Consider the following 23,664-nt stretch of genomic DNA (forward strand, 5'->3'; position numbering starts at 1 on the left):
TGTTGTCATAAGGCCAGGAAGCCTGCAATTCTCACAGCATCAAGGATTCTAAGGAGGCCCAGGAGTAGGCTGGGGAGAGGCCCGTGGCAAAGGTGTGGCAGCCGTGACCCTACTCTCCCCCTTCCACGTGTGCCTGTGCCCCGTGGTGCCACCTCACAGACACCAGTCTGAGAAGGGATTATGCCTGGGAATTCCCACGGCTGGATTTTCATTGCAGAACCTGACGAAAGGGGCTTTGCAGGGTCCAGAATGAAGAGGAGGCAATGAGAATTATCCCTGGAGGATTCTAGAAGTAGAGGCTGGGAGTATCCACAGGTAAATCGAGCCTGAACTATGACTAGAAAGGAATTGGGAGAAAGAGACACAGGTGAATCGAGCCTGAACTATGACTAGAAAGGAACTGGGAGAAAGAGACACAGGAAACTGTGAGCTTTGGGAGCAATGGGGACACCACCACCAGGAAGTCAGGGGGCACTCAGCCGGTGTGTGCCACACAGAGGAGCCTAGAAACTTCCTGGCCTTGGTTGGGGCTGCAGTGGCCAGACTGTGTACCTGGTGGCCAAGGAAGGTAACTAGAGCCCCACGTAGAGGACTGAGTGCCACTCACTCTATGCTGTGATCTAATAGGTCTAGGCTGAGAAATGGGACTGACCCCACTTCTGGTGACAGAGTAAGCCTGGAGACAAGCGAAGAGCATGCAGTGTGTTTATTGCAGACAGCAGGGTGCAGTGGAGTGGGCTGCACCCACTGCACCTGCTTCTGGGCCAGCTGGGGGTCCCGCCAAGCCTCACTGTGGTTCAGAGGCTGGAGTATGAGCTTGTGGGCCTCCAGCAAGAGCTCAGTACCAAGGGCAGCCGCCACACGGGCCTGCCACACTGCCAGCCGGGGCAGTCTTGGAAGAGGTCGCAGCCAACGGCAGTGGGCTGGGAAGACAGGGCAGCTGGGGTTGGGGCTCAGCCCCATGCCCAGAGTCCCCCCAGAGGGCAGGTGGGTAGGAAAGCTTCACCTGCATCACCTCCGTCAGCACCAAGTCTTCCAGGGAGATCTGCTCCATTGCCAGGAAGGGCCTGGCCACCAGCACCCCCCAATCCAGGTGCTGCAGGGCTGGCATCAGCCTCCCCAACAGCCGCTCCAGCTGTGCAGCATCTGCAGGCTGTCCGGAGAAGTGGGGCAGGAGAGACTGGGCTGGGAGGAGAGGAGCAACTTAACCCAGACTCTTGGAAGCCTCTTGGGCCTCCTCTCCATCCCTTCCCGGCTGCCACTCATTAGTGATGTCCTCTGGGGCTCTGTGTTCAGAAGGTTTCTAAGGATTCATTCAGGCTTAGGGGAAGGAGTACTGTGATAGATTAGTTATGTCTGCTGAGGACAGTGGAAGTGAAGCTAATATGTAATATGTACCAACTGGTGCCTTCCATCTCTGGGGGTCCAGGCCCCTGCCCCAGCCTGCATGACAGGGCCTAGGAAGCTCACCTTGCACAGGTAGACATTGGTGGCAGGCAGCTGGATGGTGACATGCTTCCACGCCAAGTACTCATCCACGCAGGTGCGGGCTTGCAGCTCAGGTGGGTACCAGTGTCCCCGTATCTGGTACTTTCGACTCAGGTATAAAACGATGACCATGCTGTGGGCAGGGGGTGTCAGAGATCTTTTCTCCAGCCTGTCAGGGCCAGGTGGCTTCATTGCTCATACTCAGGGTGATTTGACCAGGTTTTCTCCCCACCTTCACCTTCAGGGGAGGACCTCCCCTATACTGCAACTCCCTCCAGGCAGTATCTCCCCACGACCAAACCACTCTGTTTCTCCATTTCCAACTCTGATCCTCCCTGGGCCCATGTTTCCACCTCCCCTCCCAGTTACCATACCATCCTGCCCTCTGTGCCCAGGCCCCACTCCCTGGCATCAGGGTCCCCACTCAGAGTGCCTGCCGTGTGGGCCCTGCCCAAAAGGTCTCCAAGTTCCCTTCCTAGTGCCCCAGAACACTAGGTGCCCATTTTCTATCCTCAGGTAAGCCCTGGGAGGTGGATACATTATTCCTCCCACTCCGTTTTACAGAGGAGAAACCTGGCACACAAAGTTCTGTGATTTCCCCAAGGGCATGGATTGAGGAAGTGGTGAGCTGGGATTGAATGTGGAGTCTCCCCTGGGTCTGCCCAGCTCCTAGGACTCTGAAAGGATGAGCTGGGGACATTTGGGGAGGAGCCAGCCTCAAGCCTGGGCCTTGCCCGCTGGCTTCAGGTTGTCCAGGTTTATCCGGGTGACCTACGTCCTTTCCCCACCTGGGCAGCTCCAGCTGGCTCAGACTCTAGCCAGGTTCCAGCCTCCAGCTTTAGCCCAAAGGTGCCCCTGGGTCCAGCCTCTGCATCGGAGCTACACAGGCTGAAATGAGGAAGGGGCCTCAGTGATTTGGAAAGATCTCCAAGCCAAGGAAAGATCTCCCCTCTCGCCTCTGCCTCCCCCTACAACTCTGAGCCCCAGAACCCAGGCAGATCCTGGCTCTGACCCTGGGTGGGCACCAGGTCACCATTACCTCTTTGCTAGTAGGAAGTCGCCATCTCTGAGGGCAGGCACCTTCCCCAGGGGGTTCACCTTCAGGAACTCAGGCTTCAGGTGCTCCCTTGGTGGGCAGAAAGGAGAGAAGGCTCAGTGTAGGGCCTGGTCCTTGGCACCCACTCCATGGGGCCCAGCCCAGCCACCTGGCTCACCCCAAGCCAACTCCACCATCCACAGCTCAAAAGGGATGTCATTCTGTCTTGCAAAAGTGGATAGTGTGTCAGGTCCAGGAAGAGCTCAAGCCCCATTGCTGCTCCTCTCACCTGCCCTCCCCAGAATTCTGGACCTCCAGGAGTTGCTCAGCCCTTCTCCACTAGTTCTGAGCTGTTTCCTCTCCATAGTCTGCTGTAGTGGGCCAGAGCACAGGGCAGATTTGTCTTCAGGGACTTTCTCTGGGCATTCCTGGGCAGAGAACTTCATCTTCTCTGTTAACTCTTGCTGATAATTCTCTGTAGCTAGGCACCTTGTAAAACCCATGTCCCAGAATGCCAAACCTGGAAATGCAATGTCAGCGCCGAAACTGCATTGAAACTGAATGAATGAGGTCCCCACCCTCTTATCTAAATATCCTATCAGTCTGTTGAATGTCAAAGTATGTAGGGGTGGTGTGGGGGAGCCTATAGGGAGTCTCCATTTCTGTAGCTTTCCACATGTTCCATGCAGAATTTTCCTCTAATGACCCTTGGACACCGTGGTGGTCACTGTTTCCCTGCATAAACCTTTGATGATCCTTATCTTTAGCGTACCAGTGAAACACCAAATTCAGATTTTCAGTCTGTGCAGTCTATGTAGTTAATAAAATCAATTTCTAATGGAATATGCCTGTGCCTGGTGTGTTTGTACCTAACCACTGCTAAGGACTTTCATTGATAGCTAGACCTTGGAGTTCCTTCCCCTGGACCCCTGACCCAAGTATTTTGCACTCATTCCTCTGCCAGTGTGTTTCATGGTGTCCTGCTTCCCAGAGTGCCTCAGGGAATGCTTGCATTGGATATGAATGAATCGTTGCGGTCACCATGGATGGGATTCAGGCCTAACTCTCACCAAGACCATAAGGCCACAGTCTTTGATATAGATTCCCCATGTTAAATCTGCCATCCTCAGTGTAGTGAGAGTGATATTGAGAGAGAAAAGTTAGGTAATTAAGGTGGGTCCTTGGTAAAACTCCTTTAAACAGAGGAACAGCCTGAAAAATCAGGCTTCAGGCACAGATAAGGAAACTTGCACAAACCTCTGGCTCACTCAGATAAAGGAACAATGCCCAACACAGAAACACCTTTGATCTTTGTGCCTAAGGCATGCCCACAGCTACTTTGATAAGGGAACAAGACCCAGCATAGAAATGCCTTTGTCCTTTGTATAACCAGTGGGCTTCCAGGAAATAGTCTCTTCTCCTTTTGTGGACATGTACACGGTGGGCTACAGTGGGTTCCAGTGGGCACTTTCCTTTCTTGGACGTGCTTTAGAATGTGAGCCTCTGATTGGTCCTGGGCCAGGCTATCACTTCAGCTCCTGATTGGTCCCTCAAGGTCCAGGGGCCAAGCTGAGTAGTGCTTTCTCCAAGACCAGTCAGTACATTCCTTCCTTTCCCAGTCCATAAAACCCCCTGACCCAGCCTCATAATGGGCAACCTGCTTGGGCCCCCCGCCAGCTGCAATGAGCTTTCTTCATTTGCTTATTAAACTTTTGCTTCAACCTTACCCTTTGTGTCCACACTCCCTAATTTTCTTGGTCGTGAGACAAAGAATTCTGGGTGATACCCCACAATGAGAGACTGGTACATTGTGGTGCACGGGCAAGACTGCAACAATATGTTTTCTGCTTGCTTGTTTGGACTGGCCTCTTCCTAACTCTCCAGAGTGCTCTCTCCCCACTGTGGCCCTGAGCTTTGCCTCACGGTAACACTGTGCTGCATGACACTCCAGCATGATCTGCATGTTTCTCACCTCCGGACCTTCCCCACACAACTTTCTTGCTGCTTGGACCACCCTTCCCACCTATTTTCAACTGTTTCTCTCCAGCGCATCTTTCATGATAAGGCTTGAGTGGAAGCTGTATCCGAGGCTGAAGGTTATCCATGCAGCTTTGAAACCATCTGTTTATGCTTCTGTTTACCCCCCAAATACTGTTTACCCCAATACTCAAAGTCAAGGTTGGTGACTCAACAATTTTCAGAACTTCTAGCTTATCAGTATAGCTTTATTGTACTGAACTGAGTTTTTCACCATGCTGTTACTGTCTTTGAGGTTAAAAAGCCCCCAACATTCACTCCTATTTGAATCATCTGTGCAAGACTCAAGCAGCTATGAATTCAACCACAGTGTAAAGTTCTTCCCTACAATGCTTTATTGTTATTCTAGCTCCCAAGAGAGTACCATCTTTCAGCCCAAGACCCTTGACAGAACCCCTTCAACTCTGTCGCCTTTTTTCATCTCTGGAATTCTGACACCACCCATGACCCCTCTTCTTGTTCATTTACTAGGTTTTGTTCCTTTTTTTCCTTTTGTTTCAATATCCTATTGTATCTGTTCCTTTTGGGCTTCACATCCTTTTTGGAAAGAGAGGCACAGGTAATATAATGAATGAGGATGCTCCTCCTCCCTGGTTCCCTCTAAGTCAAGTTTCTCCAACGCGCTGGTCTGCTTGGCTTTGAATGCGGCTCAACACAAATTCATAAACTTTCTTACAACATTTTGAGATTTTTTGGTGATTTTTATTTTTATTATTTATTTATTTATTAACTTATCAGCTATCCTTAGTGTTAGTGTATTTTATGTGTGGCCCAAAACAATTCTTCCAACGTGGCCCAGGGAAACCAAAAGATTGGACACCCCGCTCTAAGTGTTCCCCAAGTTTCCACTGTTTTCAGAGCACATGTCCCAGGTAATAACACACAGCCCATCATTTAGTGACTGCTCAGGGTGCAAGCTGTGGAGAAGAGAGTCCGACTACGAGCTGGTGCTCTAAGCCTCCAGCACGCTAGGACTGACGACGGGGATCCGGAAACAACAAGCTCCACTCCCGCAACACACACACACACACACACACACACACACACACACACACACACACGCACACGCACACGCGCACGCGCGCACACACGCGCACACACGCGCGCACGCGCGCGCGCGCCGCCCAAGGGTAGCCGTCTGCAGGGCCCCAGCTAAGCAGCCCGCGGAGAGCGAGCGGCGCGTGCGCCCCCGCTGATTGGCTGGCACAACCGGCACCGGAGCCAATGGGAGCACGCCTTGTTGTCAGGCGCGCAGCCGGACGGCGCGGTGGTCGGGACAGACTGGCCGTTGCTGTGGAGACGCCTGGTGAGTTCCTGGAAGGCTGGTTTGAAGGCGGTGCCGGGGTGGGGGTGAGGCTCAGCAGAGCCCGGGGCACAGGCCGGAGGGGCTGCAGGCGCGAGGCTGGGTTACGTGAGGAAGCTGGGGGTTTCGCGGGCAGCTTTAGAGCCCCAGTCAGGGAAACCGAGGCCGGGCTTCCTGGCTGCCTCGCGAGCCTCTTCATGGCTCTCGCCGCCGCCCTGAGGTGCCTAGAATGGGTTCCGGCCTCCGGGGAGGTTCCCAGTAACCGCAGGAGCCACCATTGATTTGGCGTCTGCTGGGTGCAAAGCCCAGCGCGCTAACCCTTTACTCGCGACCTTTCGCTTCACCTTCACAGCAGCCCTGCGAGGTGAGTGTTGTTATTGGTGCCATTTACAGGGGTGGAAACTGAGGCCGCGGGTAGGTGAAATGATTTGCTCCAAGTCACCCAGTGGGTGAGCGCGACTCCAGACTGAAAATTTTGACCGTTCTGCTTCACTGCCTCCCCGCAAGAGGCGGGCCCTGGCCAGATGGAACTCACCTGGCATTCCCAAGGTATCTGCACAAGTGGCTTTGGGAGTCACTTAACTCTTCAGGACCTGGGTTATTACAGGTTATAAGTGTGGGACCGTCGGATTCCATGTGGCTAAGATTCTTTCTATGTGATTATTGTGGTTAGAAATAGAATATGCTTAGAACAGTCTCGTTCAGCGGTCGGCAAACTTTTGTTGTAAATATATCAGTGTTTACATTGTTATATTGTAAGTATAATGAGTATAATAGTATTCATAATAGTAGTTTAGGCTTGGGGGGTCCATACTCTGTCTACTTAACTGTAGCGATGTAGTGTGGATACAGCCAAAGACAATACATAACAGACTAGCTGCGTCGCAATAAAATTTTAATTATAGGGACCGAAGTTTTAATTTTATATATTGTTAATATAATTTTCACGTGTCATGATTTTTTTTCCCAAATATGAAAAAATGTAAAAACCATTCTTTGCTCGTGGGCTGTACAAAAAGGGTGGGCTGGTTAGCTTGCAGAACCCTCATCTAGTACAAAGCCTCATACATGAGGGGAAACAGACTGAGAGACTGACATCTATGTCAAGTCAGTCACACAGCCAGGGCACTGCCACCACTGAGCTTAAGACATAGGCTTCCCACCTTCCAGGCCAGGAAACATCCCCAGTTATCACTCTGGATCAGGGTGCTGAGGTCTGAAGGTGTGCTACTCTTTATCGTGTTCTGAGGCCATGGAAACTATATTCTAAGGGGTTTGGAAACTTATTAGCTTAGACTAATAAGCCTGGTGAATGTGCTGCTATCTGAGGAAATGCAGCTGCTGGGCTGGGAGTCAGAAATGAATAGATATTTTTCTTTTTCATGATTATTCAATAGCTTTTGTGTGTGTGTGTGTGACGGAGCCTTGGTCTGTCGCCCAGGCTGGAGTGCAGTGGCATGATCTCGGCTCACTGCAATCTCCGCCTCCCGGGTTCAAGCAGTTCTCCTGTCTCGGCCTCCCGAGTAGCTGGGACTACAGACACCCGCCACCATGCTTGGCTAATTTTTGTATTTTTAGTAGAGACGGGGTTTCACCGTATTGGTCAGGCTGCTCTCAAACTCCTGACCTCAGGTGATCCACCCGCCTCGGCCTCTGAAAGTGTTGGGATTACAGGCGTCAGACACCGCGCCCGGCCTCAATAGCTTTTTTTTTTTTAAAAGCTCCTTTTAGTGAGTTTCTTGGATTTATGGTGAACAATACATAAATGGTTACCATCCTCACATTGCTTACAGATGATAAATATATAATCAAAATGGTTATTTCTTTTTAAGCTTTTTTTTTTTTTTTTTTGAGATGGAGTCTCGCCTGTGGCCCAGGCTGGAGTGCAGTGGTGCGATCTCGCCTCACTGCAAGCTCCGCCGCCTGGGTTCACGCCATTCTCCTGCCTCAGCCTCCCTAGTAGCTGGGACTACAGGCGCCTCTCACCATACCCTGCTAGTTTTTTGTATTTTTTAGTAGAGACGGAGTTTCACCGTGTTAGCCAGGATGGTCTTGATCTCCTGACCTCATGATCCGCCCGCCTCGGCCTCCAAAAGTGCTGGGATTATAGGCGTGAGCCACCATGCCCGGCCTCTTTTTAAGCTTTTTAAACTAATTTTAGATTTAGAGAAAAATTGCAACAATACAAAACGCTCTGTTATGTCCTTCACCCTGCTTTCCCTAATGTTAACATCTTACATAATCATACAATTATCAAGAACAGAAATCTAGTGTTGGTACAGTATTATTAACTACATTACAGATGTGATATGAATGTTACCATTTTTTAAATTAAGGTTGTGTTTTCATTCCAGGACCCTATCCAAGATCCCATGTTGCATTTAGTTATTTCTCCTTGGTCCATAACACTTCCTTAGTCTTTTCTTGTTTTCCTTGGCTTTGATGCTTTTAAAGAGTAGTGATCAGTTATTTTGTCTAACGTCTCTCAATTTAAAGGTTTGTCCAGTGTTTTCTAATGATTGGGGTGAGATTATGCATTGTTGGCCAGAACACAAAGACACATTATCTTTGTGTCTTTCTCAGTGCATCACATGGAGTCCAAGATATTGGAATGTCTTATTACTGGTGATATTTACCTTGATCTATTGGTTTACTTGGTGTCTACCAGGTTTCTACACCATAAAATTACTATCCCTTTCTAATTAATAAGTCTCTTGGGAGAGATACATTGAGAGGACACAAATTCTCGTTCTCCACAAATTTGCTCCCTGACTTTAGCATCCATCTGCAGATCTTTGTGGTGTTTGCCTAAAGGTAATTATTTCTCTCTTTCCTTCTACATTATTAAGTCAAGTTCTACTGAAAGGAGAACTACCCTCTCTCTCTTTTATTTATTTATTTGATTATTTATGTGTCAGTGTAGGCCATGGATATGTATTATATTCTATGAGTTAAAATTCATTATCATCATTATTTTGTTGCTTACTGTTCCAGCATTGGCTATTTAGTTAGGATCTCCTTCAGGTTAGCTTCTGTGGCCTATCAACTGGCCCTCATTTTTTTTTTTTTCCTTCAAGCACTTACTTTATGGCACACCACAAGGTGTTCCAGGCTCATCTTGTGTTTTCTCTGACCCAACTCTGGAATCAGTTCTTTTTGTCTTTAGCCTATCCAGTCAAGATACCATTTTCTACAGTTACTTAGGTTAGTTCCTTTCTTCCTCATGCCTTTCAGAGTGGTTATGTTAGTTGTAATAGTTAGGTTCATTGTTAGTGTTTATATTTCATTTTGAGTTCCCCCTGCATCCTAGCTGATTTTAGTTGTTTTTGCGGTATGAATTATGACTGATTTCTGAGAGTCAGAGCTACACACAAAGGTATACTCAGAGAAGTGTCTTTCCCTTCTTATGCCTACTGCCCTGTTCCCATTCACCCCTTCTTTTCACCGCTTTCCCACCTACCCTGTATAGCTAACTTTGGTATCTGGATTATCTCGTGTTTCTTTCGCACAAGTGAACAGTTAGTTGTGTATTTTTTCACATCCTCTTCTTTCTTATACGAAGGTGACATGCTATATAGATAATTGTGTTTGCTTTTTTCACTTAATAGTATGTTTTAGGCCAGGCGTGGTGGCTCATGCCTGTAATCCCAGCACTTTAGGAGGCTGAGGTGGGCAGATTGCCTGAGGTCAGGATTTCAAGACTAGCCTGGCCAACATGGTGAAACCCCGTCTCTACTAAAAATACAAAAAAATTAGCCGGGTGTGGTGGTGGGCACCTGTAATCCCAGCCACTTGGAAGGCTGAGGCTGGAGAATCGCTTGAACCTGGGAGGCAGATGTTGCAGTGAGCCGAGATTGCACCACTGCACTCCAGCCTGGGTGACCGGCCGAGTGAGAATCCATCTCCAAAAAAAAAAAAAAAAAAAAAAAAGAATAGTGTGTCTTGAAAATCACCCCATATCTGTTCATAGAGATCTTCTTCATTCTTTTTTTTTTTTTGAGACGGAGTCTCGCTCTTTTGCCCAGGCCTGAGTGCATTGGCGCTATCTCGGCTCACTGCAAGCTCCGCCTCCCGGGTTCACGCCGTTCTGCTGCCTGAGCCTCCCGAGTAGCTGGGACTACAGGCGCCCACCACCGCGCCTGGCTAATTTTTTGTATTTTTAGTAGAGACGGGGTTTCACCGTGTTAGCCAGGATGGTCTCGATCTTCTGACCTTGTGATCCGCCCGCCTCAGCCTCCCAAAGTGCTAGGATTACAGGCATGAGCCACTGCGCCCGGCCCCTCATTAATTTTTAAAAACATCTTTATTGAGGCCAGGCATGGTGGCTCACGCCTGTAATCCCAGACTTTGGGAGGCTGAGGTGGGCAGATCATTTGAGGTCTGGAGTTTGAGGCCAGCCTGACCAACATGGTGAAACCCCTTTCTACTAAAAATACAAAAAAAATTAGCTGGGCATGGTGGTGCATGCATGTAGTCCCAGCTACCCGGGAAGCTGAGGCAGGAGTATCGCTTGAACCCGGGAGGCAGAGGTTGCAGAGAGCCGAGATCGCGCCACTGCACTCCAGCCAGGGCGACAGGGCGAGACCCGGTCTCAAGAAAACACAAACAAGCAAAAACATCTTTATTGAGATATAATTTACATACCTTACAATTGACCGATTTAAGTATACAATTGAGTGGTTTTTAGTACATACACAGTTATGCAAGCATCATCGCAATACATTTTAGAACATTTTTATCACCCTTAAAAGAAACCCTGATCCATTAGCAATTAGCAGTTACTTCCCATCCTGTCTTCCCCCAGCTCTAGGCAACCACAAATCCACTTTCTGACTTTATAAATTTGCCTGTTTTGGACATTTCATGTAAATGGGATCATACAATATGTGGTATTTTGTTACTGGCTTCTTCCACTTAGGATAATGTTTTCATGGTTCATCCATGTTGTCAGTGTTTCATTATTTTTATGGCTGAATAATATTCCATTTTATGGATATACCACCTTTTGTTTATCCATTTATCAGTTGATGGATTTTGGGTTTCTACTTATGCATTATTTTGAATTATGTTGCTATGAACATTGCCTCATTAATTTTTACAGCTGCATAGTACTTCATTACATGAATGTACCATAGTATGTACCATAGTACGTTATAATAGTTTATTCATCTACTCTCCTATCTATGGCCATTTAAGCTGCTTCCATTATCTTGCAGTTACAAACAGTGCTGCACGGTGAATAATTCTGTGCATATGTATTTTTGTATTGTTGGAGGTACATATTCAGGGTAGTTTCTAGAAGTGGAATTGCTGGGTTGAAAGGTAAATGCATATGTAGTTTTCTCAGATATAGTCAAATTTCCCTCCAGAAGGGTTGTACCAATTTCCAACAGTGTATGAGAATAGCGCCTGTTTCTCCACAACCTCGCCAACAGTGTGTGCTGTCATGCTTTAATTTTTGCAGTGAGAAATAGTGTCTAGTGTTGTTTTGTTTTAATATGCATATCTCTATGAATGATTTGAACATTTTTTCATATGTTTTAGAGCTAGTTGCGTCTTCTTTTGTGATTTATCTGTTCGTATTTTTTCTCCATTTGTCTACCAGGTTTTTGTTTTTCTGTTCTTTAGCTTTTTAAAAAAAATTGTGATAAAATATAAGCAACATACAATTTATCTTTTTTTTTTTTTTTTTTTTGAGATGGAGTCTCCCTCACCAGGCTGGAGTGCAATGGCGCGATCTCGGCTCACTGCAACCTCCACCTCTTGGGTTCAAGCAATTCTCCTGCCTCAGCCTCCCGAGTAGCTGGGACTACAGGCGCGTGCCACCATGCCCAGCCAATTTTTTTGTATTTTTAGCAGAGACAGGGTTTCACTGTGTTAGCCAGGATGGTCTCCATCTCCTGACCTCCTCATCCGCCTGCCTCAGCCTCCCAAAGTGCTGGGATTACAGGCGTGAGCCACTGCGCCTGACCCAATTTATCATTTTAACCATTTTTTAAGTGTGCCATTTTGTGCCATTAAATACATCCACATTGTTATGCAGCCATCACCACCATCCATCTCCGGAACTTTTTTCATCTTTTCAAACTGAAACTCTGTATCCATTAAACAGGAATTCCCATTCTTCCCTCCCCTAGCCCTGTGGCCACTATTCTACTTTCTGTTTCTATGAATTTGACTACTGTAGGTACGTTATATACATGGAATCGTACAATATTTGTCTTTTTATGACTGGCTTATTCGACTTACTGTAATGTCTTCAAGGTTCATCCACGTTGTAGCATATTTCGGAATTGCCTTCTTTTTTGTGACATGTGTCAGGATTACCTTCCTTTTTAAGGCTGAATAATAAATGTTTCATTGTATGTATATACTACATTTTGTTTAGCCATTCATCTGTCATGAACAGTTGGGTTGCTTTCACCATTTTTTTTTTTTTCTTAGCTTCAGCTTAAAGGAGGCCACCTTTCGACTATTGTAAGTAATGCTGTGTCCCTCAGTTGTAAAACGTTATTTATTTATTTAAAATAGTATGGTGCTCTTGTCACCCAGGCTGGAATGCAATGGCGTGATCACAGCTCACTGTAGCCTCAACCTTCTACCTCAACTGCCCTGAGTAGCTGGGACTACAGATGTGTACCACCATGCCCTGGCTAATTTTTAAATTTTTTGTAGAGATGGAGTCTCTCTGTGTTGCCCAGGCTGGTTTTGAACTCCTGGCCTCAAGCAATCCTTTCACCTCGGCTTCCCAAAGTGCTGGGACTAAAGGTGTGAGCCACCATGCCCATCCTGTTTCTCAGTTTTTAAGAGCTGTTTGTATATTAGGGGTATTAGTCCCTTGTCAGTGGTATATGTTGCAAATATTTTCTCCCAATTTGTTAGCTTTTAATTTTTTTTCTGAGTTTTTAAATTTTTTTTTGTCATGCAAAAATTTTTAAATTTTTATGTAGTTAAATGTATCACTCTTTTACTGTTTGTGAATTTTAAATCATATTTGGCCCTTCTCTACTACGTAATACTAAGTGTTAATACAAAGGTTAAAGAGGAATTCACCAGTATCTCCTTTAGTAGTTGTATGGTTTCATTTTTTATCATTTAGATTTCTAATTCATTTGCAAGTTTATTCTTGTGAGTTATCTTTTTCCAACAGTGAATACTGTTCCAGCAGTATTTAATACAAAGTTCATCTTGACTCTAGTGATTTGAGATGCCATCTTTGCCATATTTTTTATTTCCATATGTACTTGAGTCTAATTCTGGACCTCATCTTTTTGTGTACATATGCAGCAGTACCTCACTGTTTCATTATGAAGGCTTTGTACAGTAGGTTTTAATGTCTGTTATACCTATCCCCCCTTACAGTTTTTTTTTCATTGTTTTCCTAGTCTTAAATTTTTGTTTTTCCATATGAATTTTAGTATCAACTTGTCAATATTATCTTGTCAGTATTTGTATTGGGATTGCATTGAATGTATAAATTAACTTGGGAAGAACTGACATCTTTATATTTTTGAATCCTATCCAGGAACAGGGGATGTCATTTCATTTGTTCAAGTTAACTTTAGTGTCTTTTAATAGTGATTTAAACTTTTTCTTGCACAGTTTTAATTAACTTTATTCCTAAGTATTTAATGATCTTGTTGCTATTGCAAATGGGATTTTTCTCTACCATAATGTCTTCTTTTATGGTTTGTATATATGAAGGCTATTGATTTTTATGTATTAATCTTATATTGTGCAACTTCACTGAGTGTTGTTTTTTTTTTTTTTTTTTTTTTTTTTTTGAGAAGGAGTCTCACTCTGTCGCCCAGGCTGGAGTGCAGTGGGGCAATCTTGGCTCACTGCAACCTCCGCCTCCTGAGTTTAAGTGATTCTCCTGCCTCAGCCTCCTGAGTAGCTGGGATTACAGGCATGCGCCACCATGCCCGGCTGATTTTTTGTATTTTTGGTAGAGACAGGGTTTCACCATGTTGGTCAGGCTAGCCTCGAACTCCTGACTTCTTGATCCTCCTGCCTTGGCCTCCCAAAGTGCTGGGATTACAGGCGTGAGCCTGTAATTTTTGTATTTTTGGTAGAGACAGGGTTTCACCGTGTTGGCCAGGATGGTCTCGAACTGCTGACCTCAAGCAATCCACCCACCTCAGCCTCGCAGAGCACTGGGATTACAGGCATGAGCCACCATGCCCCGCCTGCTGAGTTATTATTGAATAAATTTTATCATTGATTTTGGGGTTTTCCAGGTAGTATATCATATTATCTACAATTAGTGATAGCTTTTCTTTACCCTTTTTTTTTTTTTTTTTTTTTTTTGAGACGGAGTTTCGCCCTTGTTGCCCAGGCTGGAGTGCAATGGTGCAATCTTAGCTCACCACAACCTCTGCTTCCTGGGTTCAAGCAATTCTCCTGCTTCACCCTCCCGAGTAGCTGGGATCACAGGCATGCGCCACCATGCCCAGCTAATTTTGTATTTTTAGTAGAGACGGGGTTTCTCCATGTTGGTCAGGCTGGTCTTGAACTCCCGACCTCAGATGATCCACTCACCTCAGCCTCCCAAAGTGCTGGGATTACAGGCGTGAGTCACTGTGCTTGGCCTTTACCCATTTTTATATCTCTAATTGATTTATCTCTTCTAATTTTATTGGCTAATATTGCACAGGTGGATAGTAGCAGAGATAGTGGACATTTTTGCTTTGTTCTTGATATTAATCTCTGAAATTAATGGACATGCCTCTGAAATAAGGTTTGCCCATGAAATAAGATTTTGGCTTTAGGACTAAGGTGTATTTATATATTAAAGTATCTCAATTTCTGTATTTTCCTGAGTATTTTTTATTATGAATAGATATTGAATTTTGTCAGACTTTCCCTTCTGTGGAGATAATCATGTAATTATTTTTCCCTTAGATGATTACATTGTGTTTTCACATGTGATGTGTGTTTTTTTGTTAGTATCTATTTTTTATTTTTTTATTTTTGATACGGGGTCTCACTTTGTCACCCAGGCCGGCATACAGTGGTGCAATTACTGCTTACTGCTGCCTCAACTTCTCAGGCTCAAATGATCCTCCTCCGTCAGCCTCCCAAGTAGCTGGGATTACAGGCATGTGCCACTATACCCAGCTAATTTTAAAATTTTTTTTGTAGAGATGAGGTCTCCCTATGTTGCCCAGACTGGTCTCAAACTCCTGCCTCAGCCTCCCAAAGTGCTGGGATTATAGGCAGATTACAGTCATGAGCCACCATGTCTGTCCGTTAGTATTTCTTTAAATTTCTCCAACATTTTCATTGCATTTCCTTTTATCTGGAAGTTGTTTATCAGGAGATTCTCAAATTTTTAGATAGACACACCTTTCTTCTGTTGGTGGTGATGGTCGTGTTAGTAAATTCTAGTTTTAAGCATTATGATTGGCAAGTGTTGTTTTTAGTATCTTTACTTGATGGAAGGTGTTTTCTTTGTGACATGAGCAGTTTTTGTGTGTGTGTGTGTGTGTGAATGTGCTGTGAGCACTGGAGAAGAATATATCATTTCTGTTATCAAGGTGTGGAGTTTGATATACATCTATATCATCTCCTCTGTTATGTTGTTTAGATCAATCATCTGTCTCCTCATTTTTTCTCCACTTGATTTGTCTTTAAAAAAATTTTTTTTTTTTGAGACAGGGTCTCACTGTGTATCCCAGGCTGGAATGCAGTGGTGTGATCATGGCTCACTGCAGCCTTGAACTCCTGGGTTCAAGTGATCCTCCCACTTCAGTCTGCTCAGTAGCTGGGACTACAGGTGCATATCACCATGCCTGGCTAATTTTTATTTTATTTATTTATTTATTTATTTATTTTAGAGATGGGGGTCTCACTATCTTGCCCAGGGTGGTCTCGGACTCCTGGAGTCAAAGGATCCTCCAACCCCAGCCTCCCAAAGTGCTGGGATTACAGGCATGAGCCACCAAGCCTGGCCATCATTTTAAAATATTTTTGTAGAGACAGGGTCTCACTATGTTGCCCAGGCTAGTCTCGAACTCTTGGGCTCAAGCCATCTTCCTGCCTTGGCCTGCCAAAGTGTTGGGATTACAGGTGTGAGCCACAGTGCCCGATCAATTTGTCTTTTTTAAAAAATTATTTATTTATTATTTTTTCAAGAGATGGGGTCTTGCTGTGTTGCCCAGGCTGGACTTGAACTTCTGGGCCTTAGCCTCCTGAGTAGGTGAAATTACAGGTGCACACTGCCATACTTGGTGCGTGATCTGTCTTGTTTTGAGATTGGTTTGAAGCCTCTAATTTTTAGGGTGTTACTGTTTATGTGTCCTTGCATCTCCTTTGGGTTATTCTTTGTTTTTTGTTTTTGTTTTTGTTTTTGTTTTGGAGACAGAGCCTCACTCTGTTGCCCCAGGCTGGAGTGCAGTGGCTCTGCCTCCCAGGTTCAAGCGATTCTCCTGCCTCAGCTTCCCAAGTAGCTGGGATTATAGGCACATGCCACCATGCCCAGCTATTTTTTGTATTTTTAGTAGAGATGGGGTTTCACCATGTTGGCCAGGCTGGTCTCGAATCCCCGACCTCAGGTGATCTACCCACCTTGGCCTCCCAAAGTGCTGGGATTACAGGTGTGAGCCACCGTGCCCGGCCAGCATATTCTTGACTGTCATATCATCAGTGTGAATTGTGCCTTTGTTACATTTAATACTTTTGGGCTTGAATTCTACTTTGATGTCTATCCCTGTGCTATTTTTTTTAACAAATTGTATTTCCTTTTATTAGAATTTTTTTATACTTATTATGTTTAATTAAATTATTTGACCTTTTTTGGAGTTATAGTTCTGTGACTTTTGACACATGTGTAGACTTGTTACCACCACCATCATTACCACTATCAGGATAAGGAACAGTCCATTGCTTATGGCACCCCTTTACAGACACCTTCCTTTACCCCGGGCTGCCCCTGATGTGTTCTCCATCACTATAGTTTTGTCATTTCAAGAATGTCATGTAAATAGAAATATAATAGTGTACAACCTTTTGAGACTGGCTTTTCTCACTTAGCATAATGCCTTTGAAATTCACCTCAGTTGTTTCATATATCAATTGTTTGTTCCTTCACATTAGTAGTAGTATTCCACTGTATGATATATCACAGTTTATCTACTCACCTAATGAAGGATATTTGAGTTGTTTCCAGTTTTTGGTGATTTGAGTGGAGCTGTAAACATTTTTATACAAGTTTTGTGTGAACATTTCTCTAGGATAAATAACTAGGAGTGAGATTGATGTATCATATGCTAGTGTATGTTGAGTTTTATAAGAAACTGTTTTCTAGCATGGTTGAACCATTTTCCATTCCTATCAGCAGTGTATGATTCTTCCAGTTGCTCTGTGTTGGCATTATCAGTTTTTAAAAAAATACAGCTATTTTAATAGGTGCATATGGTAGCTCATCATGGTTTTAATTCATATTTCTCTAATGATGAATGAGGTTGAGCATCTTTTAATTTATTTACTTGTCTTTGGTGAAGTATCTGTTCAAGTCTTTTGCCCATTTTTTAATTGGTCTTTTTTTATTGTGCCAAAATTTGTATAACATAAAATTTACCATTGTAACCATTTTAAGTGAACAATTCAGTGGCATAAAGAACATTCACAACATTGTATAACTGTGCCACTATCTATTTCCAAAAAATTTTTATCATACCAAACAGAAACTTTGTGTTTATTAGGCAGTAACTCTTGATTCCTCCCTTCTTGCAGGCTGTGGTACTTTCAGTCTCTAGGTACCTTGTATATCAAACAATATTTGTACTTTTGTATATGGCCTATTTTACTTAACATAGTGTTTTCAAGGTTCATTCATGTTATAGAGCATGTATCACAATTTCATTCCTTTTTGTGGCTGAATACTATTTCATTGTATTTGTATACCACATTTTGTTTATCCATCTATTGGTGGACACTTGGTTTGTTTCTACCTTTTGGCTATTGTGAATAATGCTGCAGTGAACATGGGTGAACAAGTATCTGTTCAAGTCCTGTTCTTTCAGGTAAAAACCTGAGTGGAATTGCTGGGTCATGTAGCAATTCCATGTCTGACTTTTTGAGGAACTACTAAACTGTTTTCCACAGGGGCTGGACCATTTTACATTCCTACCAGCAGTACATGAGTGTTTGAGTTTTTCTACATCCTTGCCAACACTTGTTATTTTCCATTTCCTTTCTGTTTTATTTTTTTGATAATAGCCATTCTAGTGGATGGAAATAGTATCTCACTGTAGTTTTGATTTACATTTCCTGGATGACTAATTTACAATTCCCTGATAAGCATCTTATGCACTTACAGGTGTTTTTATATCTTCTTTAGAGAAAATGTCTTTTGAAAGTCATTTACCTGTTTTTTTTTTTTTTGAGATGGAGACTTGCTCTGTCACCCAGGCTGGAGTGCAGTGGTGCGATTTTGGCTCACTGCAAACTCTGCCTCCCGGGCCCAAGCAGTTCTCATGCCTCAGCCTTCTGAGTAGCTGGATTACAGGTGCCTGCCACCATGCCCAGCTAATTTTTTTATTTTTAGTAGAGATGGGGTTTCACCATGTTGGCCAGGCTGGTCTCGAACTTCTGGCCTCAAGTGATCTGCCTGCCTCAGCCTCCCAAAGTGCTAGGATTACAGACGTGAACTACCATGCCCAGTCATTTACCCATTTTTAAATTGACTTGTTTGTCTTTTTGTTGTTGAATTGTAGGAGTTCTTTATATATTCTGGATATTAATCTCTTATTAGGTATATGATTTACAAATATTTTCTTCCATTGTGTGTGTTGTCTTTTCACTTTTTGATAGTGTCCTTTGCATAAAAGTTTTTTTTTTATTATACTTTAAGTTTTAGGGTACATGTGCACATTGTGCAGGTTAGTTACATATGTATACATGTGCTACCTTTGCATAAAAGTTTTACATTTTGATGAAGTCTAATTTATCTATTTTTCCTTTTGTTTCCTGTGCTTTTGGTGTCATGCTTAAGAGGCTATTGCCAGATCCAAGGACATGAAGATTTTTCCATATGTTTTTTCCTAAGAATTGCTTCTCTCTTGCTGCTTTCAAGATCTTCTCTTTGGTTTTGGTCTTAATAAGTTGACTATAATGTGTCTCAATGTGGATGTCTTTGAATGTGTACTTCTTAGAGTTCATTGAACTTCTTGGATATGTATGTTAATGTCTTTAATTGGATTTGAGGAGTTTTCAGCCATTATTTCTTCGAATAATTTTTCTACCCCTTTCTCTCTTCTCCCTCAGATACTCATATGATACATACGTTAGTTTTCTAGATGGTATCCCCCATATGTCCGTATGTCTCTATTCATTTTTCTTTATTCTTTTTATTTTTCTCACACTGGATAATTTCAATTGCCTTTCCTTCACATTCGCTGACCATTTATTTCGCCTGCTCACATTTGTTTTTGAATTTTCAGTTGTATTTTTAGTCTTCAGAATTTTTGTTTGATTTCTTTTTAGAATTTCTGTCTCTTTAGTGATAATCTCATCTTGTTCTTACATTATTTTCCTTATTTCCTTTATTATTTTGTTCATCTATCCTGATTTCCTTTAGTTGATTCAGTGTATTTAGGACAGTTAATATTTTTGACTAGTAATTTCAGTGTCTGGTCAGGAATATTTTCTATCAAATTCAGTTTCTCAGGGATGGTTTCTATCAAATTCCTTTTTCCTGTGAATGTGCCACATTTTCTTTTTTCTTTGTATTCTTTGTAATTTTTTTGTTTAGAATTGTACATTCTAAGTATTATAGTATGGATAATGTTGGAAGTCAGATTTCTGACTTTTTCTTGTTGAGGGCTGCAGCCATCAATTTTTGACTTTTTCAAACTATTTTTGCAAAATGTATTCCTTGTTGTTTGTGGGCACTGTAGATTCTGTTCCATTATTTCTTTGGTCAGCCAGTGACCTGACAACGATTTCCTTAAATGTCTGATTCAAAAGGGGGGAAAAGGTGTTCCATCTCTTTAAATCTTCTGATAGAAGCCACCTGTGAAAACATCGATAGCCTGAGAAGGCCAAAACCAAGGCAAGTATATACCAGTTCTACAGGGATCTGCCAGACCAACCAAAGTGCACAAACCCACATTTTTGTAGGTTTGGAACCAGCCAGCCACTTTAGGAACATGAGCTGCTATCCCTATAGCCGTGAGTGGTGGGGCCGAGGAATGGGGGATGGTAGCTGAGTCAAGTTATTCTTTTACCAAATATCAGCAGCCTCTGCTCATCAAACGCTCTGCTGGTTGTTTTAAGTGTTCAGTCAGGTTGCAAAGTTTTGTTTTGTTTTGTTTTGCTTTGTTTGAGACAGGCTCTCACTCTGTCACCCGGGCTGAAGTGCAGTGGTGCAATCTCAGCTTACTGTAGCCTCGACCTCCCAGGCTGAAGTTATCCTCCCACTCAGCCTCCCAAGTATCTGGGACTACAGGTATGTGCCACCACGCCCAGCTAATTTATTTTTTTGAGACAGGCTTTCACTCTGTTGCCCAGGCTGGAGTGCGGTGGCACAATCTCAGCTTACTGCAGCCTCAACCTCCTGGACTCAAGTGAGCCTCCCAACCTCAGCCCCCTAGTAGCTGGAACAACAGGCATGTGCCTCCACGCCCAGCTAATTTTTTTGTATTTTTTTGTAGAGACAGGTTTTCACTATGTTGCCCAGGCTGGTCTCGAACTCCTGAGCTCAAGTGATCCACCCATCTCTGTCTCCCAAAGTGCTAGGATTATAGACTTGATCCACTGGGCCTGGACTAATTTTTTTTATGTTTTGTAGAAACGAGGTCTCACTCTGTTGCCCAGGCTGGCCTCAAACTCCTGGGCTCAAGCAATCATCCTGTGTTGGCCTCCCAAAGTACTGGGATTATAGGTGTGAACCACCATGCCTGGCCAGGTTCCAGAGTTTGAAACAGTAGATTTTGATGATTATTTTCCTAGTTTACTGGTTGTTTTGGTGGAAGGACTGACCTTTTCATTCTTGTAGCAGTGTCTTTTGTAAAGCAAGAGTTTTTCAATTTGGAAGTTCAGTTTATTGAGTTTTTTGCTTATGGGTTGTGTTTTTTTGTGTTGTCTGAAGGCTTGTCTAACCCTAGGTTTCAAGGATTTTCTCCTGTGTTTTCTTTGTTTTGTATTTTATGTTTAGAAATGATCCATTTTGAGTTATTTTTTGTATTACATGTGAATTTTTGGTCAAGGTTCTTTTTCTTTTTTCTTTTTGAATATGGATGTTCAGTTGTTCCGGAACCATTTGTTGCAAAGAAGATTCTTTCTCCATTGAATTGCCTTTGCACCATAGTCAGTAATAAATTGGCCATTTTCATTTGGGTTCTTATGGACTCTGTATTTTGTTTCATTGATTTATGTGTCTGTTCATTTACTAACACTACGCTGCCTTGATTATTACAGCTTTATTGTAAGTTTTTAAATTGTGTAGTGTGATCCGTCCAATATTACTATTCTTTTCAAAACTGGGTCATTCTAGTACCTCTCTGGCCTTCCATTAAATCTTTCTGTCAGCTTATCTATAATTACAAACAGACCCTGCTGTGATGTTTATTGGGATTGCACTAAATCTGTAGGTCTGTTTGGGGGAAAATTGACATCTTTACTATGTTGAATCTTCCAGTTCTTCAACGTGGTATGTCTTTCCATTTGTTTAGGTCTACTTTGAGTTATTTCACCACTGTTTTCTTGGTTTCAGAATATAGACTTTGTACATATTTTGTTATATTTATACATAATTTTTGGAGCTATTGTAAATGATATTCTTTTTTTCAATTTTGATTTCTAGTGTTTATTGCTAGTATGCCGAAATACAGTTACTTTTATGTGTTGACCTGTACCCTATGACTTTGCTAAACACACTTAGAAGTTCTAGGGCTTTATTTTCTAGATTACTTGAGATTTTCTATGAAAGGCAATCATGCTATCTCTGAAAAGGGACAGTTTTATTTTTTTCTGTGTAATCTCTTTCCACTTAACTTATTTTTCTTGCCTTAACGTAGTAGCTAGGGCTTCCAGTATATTGTGGAATAGGACAGATGACAGTGGATATCCTTGCCTTGTTTCTTGATCTTGGAGGGAAATTAAGTATGCTGTTAGCTGTAAATACCTTTTATCAGATTGCTATGGTTTGAATGTATCCCCCACAGTTTATATGTTGGAAATGTAATCCCCGATGCAACAGTGTTGACAAGTGGAACCTTTAAGAGTTAATTAGGTCATGAGGGATCTGCCTTTATGAGTGGATTAATGTTGTTATTATGGGAATAGGTTCATTATTGCAAGGATGGGCTTGTTACAGAAGTGAGTTCATCCCCCTTTTGCTTTGTCATGCTCTCTCACCCTTCTGCCTTCCACCACGCAGTGATGCAGTAAGGCCTTTGCCAGGTACTGGCACTGGCGCCATGCTCTTTGACTCTCCAGTTTCCAGGACTGTGAGCCAATACATTACTGTTTTTTTATAAATTACCCAGGCTCAGATATTCTGTTATAGCAGCACCAAATTGACTAAGATACAGATTGAGGAGGTCTCTTCCACTTTGGGTCTACTGGCAGGTTTTTTTTTTTTTTAATCATTACAGTCATGCTTCAGAGATATTGTGGGTTTGGTTCCAGACCACTGCAATAAAGTGAATATCTATCACAATAAAGCAAGTCACACAAATTTTTTGGTTTCCCAGTACATATAAAAGTTAATGTTTATACTGTACTATAGTCTATTAAGTGTGCAGCAGCATTATATCTAAAAAAATGTACATACCTTAGTTAAGAAATACTTTATTGCTAAAAAATGCTGACACAGAAACCCAAAGTAAGCACATGCTCTTGGAAAAATGACACTTACCAACTTTCTTGACAAAGGGCTGCCACAGACTTTCAATTAATCAAAAACACAGTACCTGTGAAGCTCAATAAAGTAAAGCACAGAAAAATGAAGTGTGTCAAAAAAACGGGGACTGTTAAAGTCCTATTTCAGCTGAGATGAGAATGCTCCTCCTCGTATGGGAGTGCTACAGTCCATGGTGTTAACAGAACCATCAGTGAGCCATGTCTCTGCAGGCTGCCTCTGCATTGAGGTACTTCTGAAGCTTGCCCTGTCCTTCAAAGGTCATCCTGTGAATGATGGATGCTGGTCGTGGAGAAAGATTTGACTGAAAAGTTAAATGTGTCCTATCCTCCAGTCGTTTTTTTCCAGCCCTTGTTCTGTCTTTGTTATGGAGAGGTGCAGTTGTATGACTATTCCATCCTTAGGAATATGGTTACAGGGCTCAGCTTCCTTATGTCTAATATGAGGATGCACGTTTGTTCTGCACAGGAAGCACTTTGTTTTCTGCTTGACTTGTGGTACTTCTCCCTGTGTGGAGGGTATGACTGAATAACAGGTGAGCTGTCTAGAAACCACTCATGTACTCACTTGTCTCTTCCTTCATGGGATTTGGTACCAGATATAGTGGTACAAAGATAAATAGGACAGGATTGCTGCCTTTGGGAAGTTTACAAGGCTATTAAGAGGGACAGACCCAGAGGCAGGGTGATTTCCACTGAAGAGGTGAGGGCATGTAGAGGGGACATTTAGAAAGAACCATCTCTTGCTGTGCCAAATCAGTGTAAGATTTTTAGTTTTAAAAAGATGTTTTATTTGTATATCTTAGGAAAAATTCTTGCAGGTACTCGATATTTAAAAACTCAAGGCCAGGTACGGTGGCTCATACCTATAACAGCACTTTGGGAGGCCGAGACAGGTGGATCGCTTGAGGCCAGGAGTTTGAAACCAGCCTGG

General features: G+C 43.2%; 1 protein-coding gene and 1 long non-coding RNA gene across 51 annotated transcripts in view; both read left to right on the forward strand.

Annotated features, from left to right (window-relative positions):
• The first annotated feature begins 50 nt into the window (after positions 1 to 50).
• LOC105372959 (uncharacterized) lies at positions 51 to 3,367 on the forward strand. Its single transcript, XR_001755457.1, has 2 exons — positions 51 to 92; positions 218 to 3,367. It is a non-coding gene; the product is annotated as an uncharacterized LOC105372959 (long non-coding RNA).
• CABIN1 (calcineurin binding protein 1) overlaps positions 5,804 to 23,664 on the forward strand; it is a 167,325-nt gene continuing 149,464 nt past the window's right edge. For 25 of the 50 annotated variants that reach the window (XM_005261415.4, XM_006724179.3, XM_005261416.4 and 22 more), the window contains exon 1: positions 5,870 to 6,228. The gene's annotated coding sequence lies outside the window, so the exon portion shown is untranslated. The other 25 variants (XM_024452184.2, XM_047441217.1, XM_047441221.1 and 22 more) reach the window with 2 other exon arrangements.

The sequence above is a fragment of the Homo sapiens genome, chromosome 22 (assembly GCF_000001405.40).
Source record: "Homo sapiens chromosome 22, GRCh38.p14 Primary Assembly".
In the NCBI taxonomy this organism is placed as follows: domain Eukaryota; kingdom Metazoa; phylum Chordata; class Mammalia; order Primates; family Hominidae; genus Homo; species Homo sapiens.